At 39.3% G+C, this 15606-nt stretch overlaps 1 protein-coding gene across 11 annotated transcripts in view; it reads left to right on the top strand.

The window, feature by feature from the left end:
- Nucleotides 1–15606, top strand: part of SEMA5A (semaphorin 5A) — a 511043-nt gene that overhangs the window by 404430 nt on the left and 91007 nt on the right. For all 11 annotated transcript variants that reach the window (XM_011514158.3, NM_003966.3, XM_011514157.3 and 8 more), the window contains one exon: nt 5025–5142. In XM_011514158.3, coding sequence (XP_011512460.1) covers nt 5025–5142 — 118 coding nt within the window. The remainder of the gene's footprint in view (nt 1–5024; nt 5143–15606) is intronic.

Below are 15606 nucleotides of genomic sequence, written 5' to 3'. Positions count from 1 at the left end.
ATCCTGCTTTTTAGAATTAAGGCCTGTCTCCAAATATATGTTTAGCTCTAAAAAATACCCTCAATAAGTGTGTTTTTGAAAAAAATTAAACCTTCGGATTCTGACTAACATTTTTATCTAAATTCAGATACTTTCAAATACCAGGGTAATATGTAAAATGAGAATAGTGTAAGGTCATTAACACATTATGGAAATTTTAAAATTGAATGTTGATAATTATATTTGAACAGAATATATTTATGGGGTACAAAATGATGCTATGACATATGTTTACAATTTAGAATAATTAAATCAAGCTAAAACTTTTATTAAAAATATTTACCACACAAGGAAAAACATTTTCAAAGTGGAATACAGAAAAGCCACTTTCACAATGGCTGCATTAATTGGAAACCCATGATTTTCCACAGTTTCTTAAAGAGATCCAGCTTCCAAAAATAAAATTGTGTAATAGATTTTCTTAAGACATAATTTAGAATAAAGGTAGATCTCATCAGAATTTTGCCCATGGTGTAAAATATTTTGCATGAGGAAATTATATTTAAATATACATGATATTTTATTGAATGGGCATTTGTGTTTGTAAAGACATTTTAACATTTTAAAGGATAAGTGTAATGTTAAGAACGTGCAGAACCATTGGAATCATCAGAAGAAAGAGATGTTATTACATGCAGCTTTCCACTTAAAACAGCTTGAAATACTTCCCTCTAACACTGTGGCATTGTTTTAAGTCTCCAAGCAGCTTTGCATGGGAAGTCTGGGGTAAACGTGAGGAGCCCGTGGAATTTTTCCCTTTTTGGAGGTTTAATTTTAACTACTGGTCATGTTGCTTTAATAAGAAACACGAAAAGGAATGCAGGCCTTTTGAATGATCTCTAAGTGTAGCCTCGCTATGCTTTTGCTCTGTGTAAAGAATCATACACAGAGAATTCCCATATGTGATATACACTATGTTATTTTGTCAATAAAAGAATTACTCTCAGGTTTGCCATAGGAGCCGCAAATATAAATATGTCACTTTTGGCTAGTTTAGTAAGATGAAGACACTCTCAGATTCGATCTCATTGGCACAGCCAGGTGGAGTCACAGCAGGGAGCAGAAGGACTCTTAGCGCTCACCCCACCCGGGTCTGTCTCATGAGTTGCACTTGAAGGGTCTCCAGATTTCCAGCAACTTCCTCTGGGCATTTTTCTACAGAACAACACTGCACATGCAAAGTTACTCAGGAAGAAATTGCTGACACCTGGATAATAAATGCACACTTTTCATGGTCTTAGTCATTGGTTGTGATAGTTTATTCTCATCTTCTCTATTCCCTGCACAAAAAAGTGTTATTAAATCAATTGCGTGTCTTGAGAATTGAGAAAATTTTTATGTGTTTTCTACAATAAAAATACAGGTTCAAGTTTTATTCAATGAGACTGATCATTGGAATAATTTTTTATTTAAAATAGTACATTATTGGGAATCATATTCCCAAAGCTAGAGATTTTAAAATGCTTATGCTCACACTCTCTGTTATAAACTTGTAGTAATTGAAAAGGATGTCATTTGAATAACGGGAAAAGAAACCATACTCACATCTATTACTCTTCCTCTAACACCTGAATTTGTTTGTTTTGTGTGGGGTTTGAGATGTTTAGATTTTTTAATATGTATTTGTGATTTTTGATTTGTTTGTTTGTTTATGAGGAGGAGAAAAATACATTTCAAGTGGATAAAGGATAGGGAGCCAAAAAATGATACCTTAGAAGAATCAGAAGGAATCGGGGGAGTGATGTTTCTATAATCTTTAATCTTTCTATAATGTTTGATGCTTAATCTTTAAGTTGGGAAGATTTAAGTGAGAAAGATCTTAACATGGAACACACATTAGATGCTATAAAGAAAAGTGTTCATAAGTTTTACTGCATAAAATCTTATAACATGTATATCTCAAGAAAAAAATGTCAAACAGGGAAAATATTACTCAGAGAGGGCTGCATTTTAATGCAAAAATCACCCCTTCCAGTGACCATGTAATAAAATGAATGACTCATGAAAGAGATCAAATCAGGAATTGGATATGGATAGGAAGTTTACACATGGAAAATGCAAATGTTTAAAAAGTATATTCATCTATGCTAAGCCTTAACCTAAGACACAACTGAAAGAAATGAAAACAGACAATTGGGAAATTCTATTTTTTTCATATACCAGCTTTCTGAAAGACTCACCCTTTGGGTGAGTTAAAAAATATGGTAACATCCAGTGTGTAACAGGGTGAGGCAGCAGAGGCACTCCCATATTGTTGGTTGGTCCAAATTTAATAATGCCTATAACTACATGAATAAAATTTTATCATATAGAAAACCCATACAAAAATGAGCACTGCAGCCTTGCTTTTAAAGGGTAAAGTTAATAATTTTAAAGGGGAAATTTACACTGCTGGTGGGAATGTAAACTAGTACAATTACTATGGAAAACAGTGTGGCGATTCCTTAAAGAACTAAAAGTAGAACCACCATTTGATCCAGCAATCCCACTACTGGGTATCTATCTGGTGGAGAAGAAGTCATTATATGAAAAAAGGCACTTGCACATGCATGTTTATAGCAGCACAATTCACAATTACAAAAATGTGGGACCAACCCAAATGCCCATCCATCAAGGAGAGGTTGAAGAAACTGTGATACATATATATGGTGGAATACTACTCAGCCATAAAAAGGAATAAATTAACAGTAACCTGGATGAGATTGGAGACTATTATTCTAAGTGAAGTAACTCAGGAATAGAAAAGCAAACGTCGCATGTTCTCACTCATAAGTGGGAGCTAAGCTATGAGGATGCAAAGGCATAAGAATGACACAATGGACTTTGGGGACTCAGGGGCAAAGTGTAGGAAGGGGGTGAGGGATAAAATACCACAAATTGGATGCAGTGGATATTGTATACTGCTTGGGTGATGGGTGCACCAAAATCTCATAAATCACCACAAAAGTACTCATGTAACCAAACACCACCTGTTCCCCAATAACCTATGGAAATAAAAAATTGAAAATAAATAAAATAAAATGAAAGGGAAATTTAAATAAATGTTGGTTCATCAAAGAAATGGAGCACTATACAGCTGTTAAAGGGAGTAAGGTAGAGCTATATTTATTGACAAGAATAGTGCAATAATAGATTATTGGTTGTAGAAAGCAAAATGCGAAACCGCGTGCACAATCACATTTGTGTGTATTGCATATCATTATTATATAAAACATATATTTGCCTATAAACAATAACAAAATATATATATGTATATATAGATATGTGTACACAAGCATGCTTATATGTATGGATAAAATATCTGCAGAATATGTGAGTTAGTATAAACAGTATAAACTACTACTAGGGAAATAGGCTTTCCCCTTGTCCTTTATAACTGCCTTGTTTGTATTTTTGAATGGAAGTCATGTCTGCATATGGTCGCATATCAAGGAGTTTTAATGAGGTTATAGGAACAGGTAGTTGTTTCATACATTTTTGTACCCCAACCTAGCCCTACTTCTGAGAAACAGCTTTTTAAATCATTTGCACTTCTTTAGGTAATTAATAAATGACAATTGTATAATAACTTACTACCTATCAGTAGATTTATCAACTGTAAACATATCTTCCCTAGCTGTACAGCCTTCAAATCGATCTTTCCCTCCTTCAGTTTTTTCATTTCAAAGCGACAGTCAATGTAGTGCCTAATTGAGGTACTGTATTAATAAGGTTGTCATGGGGTTTAAATGACCAAATATAAGTCACATTCTTAGAAAACTGCTTTATATATGATTAATACATTTGGTGTTTTAACAATGATTATTTTGTATTATAAATATGAACAACTCATCATTACTTACTTACGCTACCTCCCTGCTGACAGGGTTGATGGTTAAGCCATGACTTCTGGTCCTACCAGATTTCTAGTCCTTGACTAGTTTGTAACAGGACCTCCCTCACTGTAAGTACTATCCTGCCTCTAAGAGGGGTCATTGGCACCTCCATGCTGGCATTGTCTCTCTTTCCTCACATCTGCTTCCTGCCCCTCCAACTTCTTGGTGCATTCACAGAATTCCCAGGTTCAATGTCCTGCGTGCCCATGACATTATCTTCTGTATATTTCTGGCTCCATCGCTATCATCTCCGTCTTCTTCCTCCCTCATTTACCTTTGCTTGTCTTTATAATGTAAAGGCCACAGCCCTCATCTAATAATGCCCATGTAGTGTATGAACTCTTTCATTTAGACAAAGTTAAAAAGAAAATATCCGCCATCTAAAATACTTCTGATATCATATGTAGGATATTATAGACACAACTATATGAAATTACTATTAAATTGAAAATTTTAATACGTTTAAGCTACAGTAAACAAATGAAAGATGCTCCTATTTTTTGAGTTTGAACTATTCATGTTGAAGAGTTTTGGATGTATCTGCATGTTGTTGGGCTAATTTCTCAGATTTTCTGTGCCTCAGTTTTCTCATCAATAAAGTGGTGGTAATAACGATGATGATTATGGTGATGGTAACAGTAAATAAAACCTGCCTATCAAATCGTTTAAGCGTCTGCATGCTATGATAGTTTGTATTATAGTTAATATGATAGTAGGTGTTAAACAAATAATACATGTTGTAAAGAGGAGGCGGATGATCATGGTGACGGTAGTGGTGAGCACAGCTATATTGTTTTTGAACATTGTAGAATCTTGATTTTAGCACTATTTATGACAGCAAAATGCTCGTGTTGGCTCATCTTTAGTCATCTGTCATGTATGTTAGATTAAAACATAGATTTTTCAAAATGTCTGTGTAAATGATTTAATATTAGGTACTTACTGGAGTGTGCAGATAGCTGTGCTCTCCAGTGTGCAGCCTAAATACCCATTGGGCTTCATATGTAAGAAATCCCATACCTCTCTGCCAAGGGACAGGTTCGCCTTGTCTTGTGTATCTTATCATGGGTAAAGCGACCTTTCTGTTGACCATTTGGTGTGTGTTTCCAGCACCTGCATTGGGGCCCAGGACCCTTACTGTGGCTGGGATGTGGTAATGAAGAAATGCACAAGCCTGGAGGAGAGCCTGAGCATGACGCAGTGGGAACAGAGCATCTCTGCGTGTCCGGTGAGTGCCCACCTTCTCCATCCTCTGAAAATGCTGCCCATGGGAGCCATGCTCCCCTGGCGATCCTCAGTCACACTGTCACGCTGTCTGCACCTTTTCATATGAGAACCATTTTTGCAAACCCAGTCTGTGCTCTCTCAGATCACTCAGCTCTTGGCTTGCACAGGGCCACGTGGAATGCTGTTATAGGTTTTTTTGTCTGTTTGAAGAGAAATGTCTTCACAGAAAACTGTGTTGATTTGATAATGGAGTTTATGGTTTGTTTTATTCTTGGATTTTTTTTTCCCCCTCCAGAGTTTGGTGTGGACTATTTTGCCCCTTACAGCGCTAATAAAAGAGAAACTTCCACACCCACAAATTTCTTTTGGGAGATATAATTCCAGAGGCTGACATAAGGAAAGATGAGAAAAGAATAAACTAAAGGATATTACTTTCACCTTCATGTGGGGCCAACCCGTAGATCCTGTTCAAGGTCACAGGAAGGTCTGGAAGAGACCGCCTAGTGTGCGTTCCCATAGAGGACTCTATGGAATGAGGAGAAACTCACCTGTATTGAGAGCCAGACTGAATCCAAGAAAAGCACATTTCATGGTTTCCTTTGCTGATATATGTGTTTGGGTCCACATTTATAGGAACCAGTACTTAGAATATTTTTTGCTTTTTTTTTGTTTGTTTGTTTTTGGAGGGTTTTTGGCCTTTAGAACATTTCATTGAATCATCTTAAATTCTCTTATGTGTTCTCATAGAATATGAACAACAGTTATTAACTTCCATATAATGGAAAAGTCATAAGTCATGTTGCCTTTACAAAACTGCTGATCTCTGCCCATCAGTTCTGCTGTATCTCTGCAAGACAGAGGTGTGGCACATTCAGTGTGTGAACTCCTTGCTGTTTCTTCCATGCTTTAGAACTGCGAAGGCGTTGCAACAGTCAGCCTGTTTCCCACCAAAGAACTTACCCTTTCTGTTATCTCAACCACATATTCATAAAGCCTGTCCTTCAGCTTGAAAGTCGGAAAACCAGGCCGGGCACGGTGGCTCATGCCTGTAATCCCAGCACTTTGGGAGGCCGAGGCAGGTGGATCACAAGGTCAGGAGATCGAGACCATCCTGGCTAACACAGTGAAACCCCATCTCTGCTAAAAAATACAAAAAATTAGCCAGGCGTGGTGGCGGGCGCCTGTAGTCCCAGCTACTTGGGAGGCTGAGGCAGGAGAATGGCGTGAACTCGGGAGGCAGAGCTTGCAGTGAGCCGAGATCGTGCCACTGCACTCCAGCCTGGGCGACAGAGCGAAACTCCATCTCAAAAAAAAAAAAAAAAAAAGAAAGTCGGAAAACCAGAAACCAGACAGGATGAAGCAAGGAAGTCTGGGGCTATTCAAACCAGTGTCATTTCCCAAATGTTGGCACCGAATCAAGGGGCCTTCACTGTAACAGTGTGTGCATCACCACATCTAGGCTCTGGACAGCTTCCTAGTAGGATTAGCTGTGGGTCCTCATGATTATTTAACTTCAGATCTATTATTTTAGTAGCCAATTTTTCTGCAAAATCCCTTTAAAATGGTTAGAAAAATGTCATTGTTTGTTCTAAGGCCCTTCCTATTTCTGAAAAATACTAAGAACACAAGGGTGCTCACCTTTCATTCTTTGCAGCTTGATAAAACATAATGTTTAATACCTGAAATGTGGTTCCAAAGTACAGACATACACTTTGGAAGAATCAGCAAATCTTCTTGCAGATCTTTGATCTTGCATTTTTAATCATAAAAAAGGCACAAGATAATAGCTGTGTTTCTTAAGTAATAAGGCCATTGTCTAGGACCCAGAGTTGTTTTAGTATATATCTGAGAGATACTAATTATGTAATTATTACTATCTGTAATGGGAGCTTCCCAGCAGGCAGCTTGTCCCCGTGGGACCCTCAACCTAGAAGGGCTTTCCCTCTGTGCTCTAGTGTTTGTGGGCTGGAGTTCATGGGCCAGAAATACACACCCACGCACTTGGTTTATAATGAATGTATGTATTGTATATGTCTTTAGTCATTAAATGGAGAGTTGGCTGGGCACAGTGGCTCATGCCTGTAAACCCAGCACTTTAGGAGGCTGAGACAGGAGGATTGCTTGAGGCCAAGAGTTTGAGACCAGCCTGGGCAACATAGCAAGGCCCTGACTCTACAGAAAAGTAAAATAATTTAATTAGGCATGATGGTGCATACGTGTAGTTCCAGCTACTCTGGTGGCTGATGTGGGAGGATTGCTTGAGCCTAAGAGTTTGAGGCTGTGGTGAACCGAGATCATGCCACTTGTATTAGTCTGCTTTCACACTGCTATGAAGAAATACCTAGACCGGTCATTTATAAGGTATAGAGATTTAATTGACTTACAGTTCTGCATGGCTGAAGAGGCCTCAGAAAACTTACAATCATGGCAGAAAGTGAAGAAGAAGCAAGCATGCACCTTCTTCACAAGTCAGCAGGAGAGAGAGTTCAGGAGAAACTCACTTTTAAACCATCAGATCTTGTGAGAACTCCCTCACTATCAGGAAAACAGAATGGGAGAAACCACCCCCATGATTCAATTACCTCCCACTAGGTTCCTCCCTTGACATGTGGGGGTTACAGTTTGAGATGAGATTTAGGTGGGGACACAGAGCCAAAGCATATCACTACTGCACTCCAGCCTGGGCAACAGAACAAGACCTGTCTCAAAAAAAAAAAAAAGAAAGAAAGAAAAGGAAAGATTTAATATTTCAGAAGTGAAGAGAGGATGGTCACTAAAGTTGTTTCCTACTACTGAGAGGACCTGAGGTCCTTGTTGCCTTCTGACCTTACTTGAGTTTTTAACAAGTAAGATCAGAAGGTAACAAGGATCTGCCATGGTGTCAAGGCTGCCTCCTCTACCATCTCTGCTTTCAAAAATAAAGCTGAGATGTGATATCTGGCTCTCAGTCAGCAAAACACTCATTACAAGGTCTGCTTCTTCTGATGACAGGGTATTTCATTACACAAAACTATGTCTGTCATCCCACCCAATGTATTTTATCACATATCAAGATACACTTTAGATAAGTTAAGCATATACAAAGAAGGCAACAAAAGACAATAAATTATGTCATTTTGCACAAAACACAGGAAAGGAAACCATATATATTTCTGGGTTATATAGGCTACCATTTTGAAAATGAGAAATTCATATTATCTAACTATACATCTCTTTCTAAAAATCTGTCTCTTAGAAGGAGATGACCTAGATGTAAATGATTTGCATTAATATACATCAGTATTAACTTAGGTATTTAAAAAAACTATTGAAATGTAATTTTCTTCCGTGTTATTTTTTAACTGAAATGGAACAAGGGCTTAATTTTATTGGGCAAATCTATCATATATAATCATTTCTGATATGCCACTGGTTGTGATGTGTACCACTGCTTTATATGTTGCTAAGAAACAACAACAACAAAAAACACTCTCATGGATTGCAAGATGCCAGTTTATTTTAGAGATGGTAAAATACAAAAAAAAGCAGAGGGAAGTTTGCAATCAGTAAACACTGTTACCTACTTCTACGTATATAGATCATAGAGGTATGTATCTCTTTCCAAAGGAAATTAAGCTTTATAAGCTGAGGGATTTTTGAATGAGACCAAATATTTTATACCTCATGTAAAAGTGCAAGCTGCATAATGAAAGACAGGAGATCCTGTTACATTGAGTGCAATAAGAGTTACAGGAATATTGATGATGGTGAGTCAACCTCAGACCCTCTTGTGTGTGACCCTCCCAAGTAAACTTTCACAAACCTTGGATCAATGACATAGCACAACTGAGTTTCCCAAAGTTAGTGTTCTAGTCAAACTTCATGCAGTGGCTGTGACTTATGGCTGTCTTAGACCATTTATGTTGCTACAACAGAATACATAAGGCTGAGTGATTTAAATTGGACAGAAATTTATTTCACATCGTCTTGAAGGCTGGTAAGTCTAAGATCAAGGTACCACTACTTAGTCTGGTGAGGGGCTTCTTGCTGTGTCCCGCCTAGAAGAAGTTGGGAGGGCAAGAGACAGCCAACTTTCTTTGTCACAACTCTTTATAAGGGTACCAAATCCATTCCTGAGGTAGGAGCCCTCCTGACCTAATCACCTCTTCAGGATTCCACTTCTTAATAGTATCACACTGGAAACACCTGAATTTGGAAGGAGCACATTCAGGCCATGGCAGTGGCTTAAATCCTCTGCTATCCAGAGAGTTTGAATTGGATAAGGGACCCCCAATAAATATTTCTAGGGAATTAGGGACTTAAAGAAGACTTATTTTCTACAGAGGGATCCCTATTTAAAAATGTTTATGGGTTTCTATAGTACAGATGACAGGGCAATAGTTTACTCACATATTGATTAATGTTCTGTTTGCTTATAAAATTGTAATTGAAAACATTACTCTCAGTTTAAGAGATTTGAAGTGCATCAGTAAAATCTAAATTGGCATATCTAGACTGATTAGAATAATATATATGTCCTGCATAAATCATAATGTTGTTTAACAAGGGTAGCATAGTCTTAGGAATCTACTTGAGTTTTATTTATGCATGAATACCATCCACACCCTTTGTGGATACATGATGACCAGGGTACCATATGATGTAATGAGTCCCTATTCCAAAATGCATCATGTATTATAGTCTGCATGTTCACTCCCCACAAATATGATGTTGAAATGTGATCCCCAGTGTTGGAGTTGGGACCTGGTGGGAGGTGTTTAGGTCATGGGGGCGAATCTCTCATGAATGGCTGGATTCCCTCTCTTCAGTAATGACTGCATTCTTGCTCTATTGCTCACATGACAGGTTTTTTTTTTTTTTTTTTTTTTTTTTTTTTTTTTTTTTTTTTTTTTTTTTTGAGATGGAGTCTCGCTCTGTCGCCCAGGCTGGAGTGCAGTTGCGAGATCTCAGCTCATTGCAGCTTCCACCTCCTGGGTTCATGCCATTCTCCTGCCTCAGCCTCCTGAGTATCTGGGACTACAGGTGCCCACCACCACACCCGGGTAATTTTTTGTGTTTTTAGTAGAGACGGGGTTTCACCGTGTTAGCCTGGATGGTCTCGATCTCCTGACCTTTTGATCCACCCGCCTCGGCCTCCCAAAGTGCTGGGATTACAGGCGTGAGCCACTGCGCCCAGCTGAGAGTTGGTTGTTTTAAAGACCCTAGCATCTCTCACTCTCTCTCTCACCATGTGACACATCTGCTCCCCTTTCACCTTCTGCCATAATTGTAAGCTTTGTAGGACCAGAGGCAGATGCCAGCACTATGCTTCTTGGCCAGTCTGCAAAACTGTGACCAAAATAAACCTCTTTTCTTGGTAAATTACCCAGCCTCAGGTATTCCTTTACAGAAATGCAAAATGAGCTATACATCATGTAATAAGTAACAAAATACAAGGAGCAAATAAACACCTAGGGGGTCTCCTAATAACAGGATTCTCCTCAATGCCATTATGTAGTTAGGGTCTTTAGAATAAAAGGGGACTTTAGCAGTGATCAAGCCCAGAGCCCTCTTTTAGATGGCAGTACCATAGACTATAGTCTAAGGGGTTTATCAAATGTTCCAAAACTGCACTGGGAAAGAAACCAGGATTTAAATTCAACATTTTTGACATTATACCTAATCTTCAGGATAATGCCCTTCTAAGCTCTCAACGTCTTTCCAAAGCAGGGGTGACACGGTCATCACCAACAGATGATGCTTAGAGAGTAGGTGAGAGATTATTTCTGAATTTTGTGATAGAATCTTAATATAAGAGAAAGAAAAGAGAACTAAGGTTTACTTGTATGTCTGGAACGTGTGCTCAGTGCCATGTGAGGCAACTTTCAATGGATTATCTCATTTAACGTTCACTGTGATCCCCAGGGATGGATATTTTTGCTTCCATTTTATAAATGGAAGAGGTGGGGCTCAGAGGTATTAGATAACTATTGCCCCAGTTCACCCATCCTATCAGAGGCTGCACAGTGCTTCAGCTTAGTTCTTTTTGGAGGCACTGCATTTCCTGTGTAACTCATTTGCAGAGATAGGCTTAGGGATGATGCTTAGTTGATATCATAGCATGAGACAAGCTTTCCCGAGGAGCATATCTAACATTCTGTTTTGTTACATTCTATGGCAAAACGTACATGAAAATTTTAAAAAGGAAGATTTTTTTTTAATTTTTGAAAAAATATCAGAATAGAAAAATAAGACTTCAATTAAGTCATGAAACAATAGTGGTTGGAATATAGTAAGAATCTAAAGATGAACTCCAGGGACCTCTGCACTCACCAAATGCATCTACATCCTTGGTCAGTTGAAATTAATGAAATGGACATGAACAAATCAAATATAGGATTGTAGATGGTGCTTGGTAACAAAATTGAATCTTCCTTAGCTAGCACTTGGAAACCTGCTATTTCCTAGATGAAGGGAAATTTGCTATTACAGAGTTGGGGGTAAAATTACTTGAAGCTAATTTCTTTGAGAGTCTCACCAAAGAAGGATCTACAAATTACTTTACAGAATGAAGTGGTTGAGATCATAGGCTCTGGACTAGCTTGTTTGATTCTTGGGTCTTTTACAACCAGAGTGACTTTGAGCAACTTACTTATCATATCTCAGCCCATTTCATATCTGTAGAATGGGCTGTAGGTGCTACAGATGTGTTGAAGATTCAAGGAGTTAATACATGTAAAGCACAGTGCCTGGCATACACGAAACTACCACTACATGGTATATGTCTCACTAAGGTCTAATGTTTAATATTAAATAGTATAATACACATACCCCTAATAGAAACTTTCATTGCAGAAATCTGGAAGATAGCACAACTACAGATAATTTATTCTAGATATGTGTCTGATGTCTGTTTAAGGAAGCCTAAGAAAATATAAAAATACCTATTCATATGAAAAAGTAAAGCCACAGAACTTAGATTGTTATTCATGGATCTGCTTTCTAGGCAGATTCTTACACGAATATACTCAGGGTCAAAATGAGCAAGTGCTTAAATGCAACACAGAGAACCTGCACCCAAAGACCCATGTACTTTTCTAAGGATTGCAAGTCCTCATTCTGAAATGTAGTAGAACCAACTACAGTGATCCTGGATTGAAAACGCTGCCCTTAAAGTCTTCAACTACTCCGGCCATGGCCAGAAACTGAATCTCACATTCTTACCCTGCCAGAGTGCAATTGCTGTGTGTTCTCACTGTGATTTGCCCAATGCAGTTCCTTTTCTTTCCAGGGTTTGGTAACTGTTTCTGCACTATTTTATTTGCCTCTTTCCTCTTCATTCTTTCATTAGCCATCACTTATTTCAAGTTCTTCCTCTATTTCCCTGTGCCTTTCTTATGAGCTCCTCTTTTGCCGATTCATATATTTGGAAAGAGAACATTTATAGCATCTCTTTGCTTAAGACCCTACTAATTCATGCTAGGCCAAAAGAAAATGAACAAAGAATGTCTGGTGCAGTGGTTCTCAATCAGGAAAAAAGTTGCCCCCAAGGTCATTTAGCAATGTCTGGAGACATTTTGGGTTGTCACATCTGGGGGTGTTAGGGCACTGGCATCCAGTGGGTGGAGGCCAGGGGTGTCACTAAACATCCTGTTATGCACATGGCAGCCCCTACAGCAAATTATCCAGCCCAAATGTCAATAGTGCCGATGTGGAGAAACTCTGGGGCAGTGGAGAAAAGGAAGACCAGTGCTTCAGATTACATCTTCCAAATAAGTAGCTAGGGATTCTTTGGGATATTATCAAATTCATATGAATCTTAGTTTAATTTTTCTATAAAAATAGCATAAAGAAATTAAATCATATAGACTGTATATGCCTAATGGTAATTAAATTTCCTGTGAATAGGGCCTAATTAAGGACTATTTTCATCCTGTGGTATATCGTGAGGCAGCAGTTTCAGGGCTGATTCTGCTGCCGAATTCAGGCAGGACAGCAGATGAGCAAGTCTTTGATTCCCTAGGCCTTCTCCTCTTGCTCACAAGATGGCAGTAGGATTGCCAAGTATCATATTCACACATAACCATGTCCAAAGCAGGAAGGAAGAGAAGGAGCAGAGAAAGCTTCCTCCTCTTCATTTGAATGAAAATAGTTTCTAGAAACCTCTTGCAGTGTCCTCTTGAGTCTCATTGGCCAGAACTGGGTCACATGTCGGTTTCTAGACCCAGCACTGGCCCAACTGAAGGGGTTGCCATGATTGGCTTATAGCCTAGTCAGGATTCAACCCTGGCCTCAGATATGTCCTGTTTGAGGTTCAGAAGCATGGCCGGTGGTGCCAGCCCAACTCACCACAGATTCCTCCTCCCTCTGCTCCACCTCACAATGGTGAGGAATAATTCCCATAATGAATGCAAATCCTCTTTTTTTCAAAGTACTTTCTTCATAAAAATCCATTTACCTTGGCTGGTGTCCCTACCTTAGCCTCTTTGGAAAAGTGGAAATTCTCAGGTTCCCTCCAGGACAGGAGATTATTTTAAGGAATCACGTGGACTGGAACTCTGAGTGATTTCTGTTTCCGTCTTCATTCGGTTGTCACCATCATATTGTACTTCCTTCTGGCCTCACAGTCTTAGATATTTCTATCATCTATATCATTATGAGTTTAGGATTTCCTTATGACCTCTTAGAGCTAAGGAGATCCTAGGAACCTCCCTGGTCATTTCCTTTGTATTTTAGATGAGAAAATGGAGACCAAAGGGGCTTGGAAAGCTCTTCTTTGCCTCAAATTCTCTAATTTGTCCCAATTCTGCCATGTCAAATGTTTCTGATTAATATTAGGGGGATTTATAAACCTTCAAAAAAATCACAAATGCATCTGCTTCATGAAAGGGACATATGTGCAAATAAACCCCCAAACACAGAAGGACCCAAGAAACCAAAGAGTGAGGCAGACAAAGTCAGTTTGTCGGTACAGGGTGAGTTTATTGGGAACTTACAGAGAGAAATATGCTCTTGGGCAGCTGCAGGACAGGTAGATCTCCATGCCATTATTCCCAGGGCTTATGAGCCATAGGGAAAGTGTATATGTGCTTCAGAGGGAATGCCTAGGAATTTGCTGAAGGGCACTGTTTGCGCTAAGTACATGCTCTTACACAAGGAACAATAGGTAAACTGGAAATCTTAGAGGCATTCCCAGAACTTGGGTTAATCAGAAGTCAGCATGGTGGATTAGCATCCAGGATAGAACTGCTTTGACCTCCATAGCATCCCAACCTGAATGACCCCTCACACCTCTGGAACAGCCTTTGCAGAATTAGAAGTGATGAGAGAATTCCAGCATGACTGATTCCACCTTGCTTTTAACGTCGCAGGCTAACCTGTTTTATGTAATTTTGTTTTACATATAATAACACAGAGACCAATGCCAAGATAACTGTGAGAGGAATTTAGTTTATGGTTAAATTTTGAGGCAAGGAAAACTTACCTCCCTGTCCTCGTATTCAGAGATTGAAACTGTATTCACAATGGTAAGGGCTTGACCTTTGCTGAAGAATAGGCATGAGCAATGACCTGCTGACATTTAACCTGCTTTTCTTTAAGCTGGTTACCACAGATTCAGGTAACCAGGGGTCACAAGATTTATAACTTCTCTAACTCACCCCTATAGATAACATTGCAATTGTGAAACCTAAAGAAGTGGTCTTTGAGATATTTTTCAGATTTAGCACTTCAGCTGACCAAAAGCTGTCCTGTAGTCCGAGACCCCCTCTCAGGAACTGACTCAGCTGCCTGAAGGCAGTTTGAACACTGCTGTGATTTCATCAACTGTTTCAGTTCCCCACCCCGGCCTGCCAAAGTACCCTCAAAAACCCCTAGCCTCTGAATTCTCAGGGAGTCAGGCTTGAGGAATTTCTTTCTGTTCTCCTCACTTGCCTGGCCCTGTAATAATTCAGCTCTTTTTTTTTTTTTGCTGTCATTCCTGTTGTTCCCAGTGCATTTGGCTTTCTGAGTGGAGGGCAAGATGAACTCTTGGAGCTGTTACACCTTCATAGAGAAGTGAGGCTAAGGATGAACAGATGTCCCAGAGAGCCTCTCAAACAGTCTCCCTCCCCACTAACTCTCTGCCTCAAGGGTCTGACCTTCCTCACATCCAATGTCCGATCCTCTTTCCCTTGCTGTCTTGTGACCTTGGGCTCAGGTAATGAGAGGCATGGGCAGGAGGAATAAGACGGGTATCACTCCCTTACCCCCTTCAACTAAGGATTGCTCCAGCCACCCTGTCCTCCCTCCCACCTGCAGGCTTAGGATGGTCACAGCTCCCATGGTGGTGTCTGCTGGGGCCTTCAGCAGCCCTAGAAGGTTTCTTAACTGGGCCCACACTGCAAAGAGTCAAAATAGTACAGACCTATATATTGTGTAACTATGATGCAAATATTCTGTCTGACCACCGTTATTGCTTGAGGCTGGCTCCATGAACAAGAGACAT

Source organism: Homo sapiens, chromosome 5 (genome assembly GCF_000001405.40).
Source record: "Homo sapiens chromosome 5, GRCh38.p14 Primary Assembly".
Taxonomy (NCBI): Eukaryota; Metazoa; Chordata; class Mammalia; order Primates; family Hominidae; genus Homo; species Homo sapiens.
Note: the sequence above shows the minus strand (reverse complement) of the source record. Positions and strands in the feature narration are given on the sequence as shown.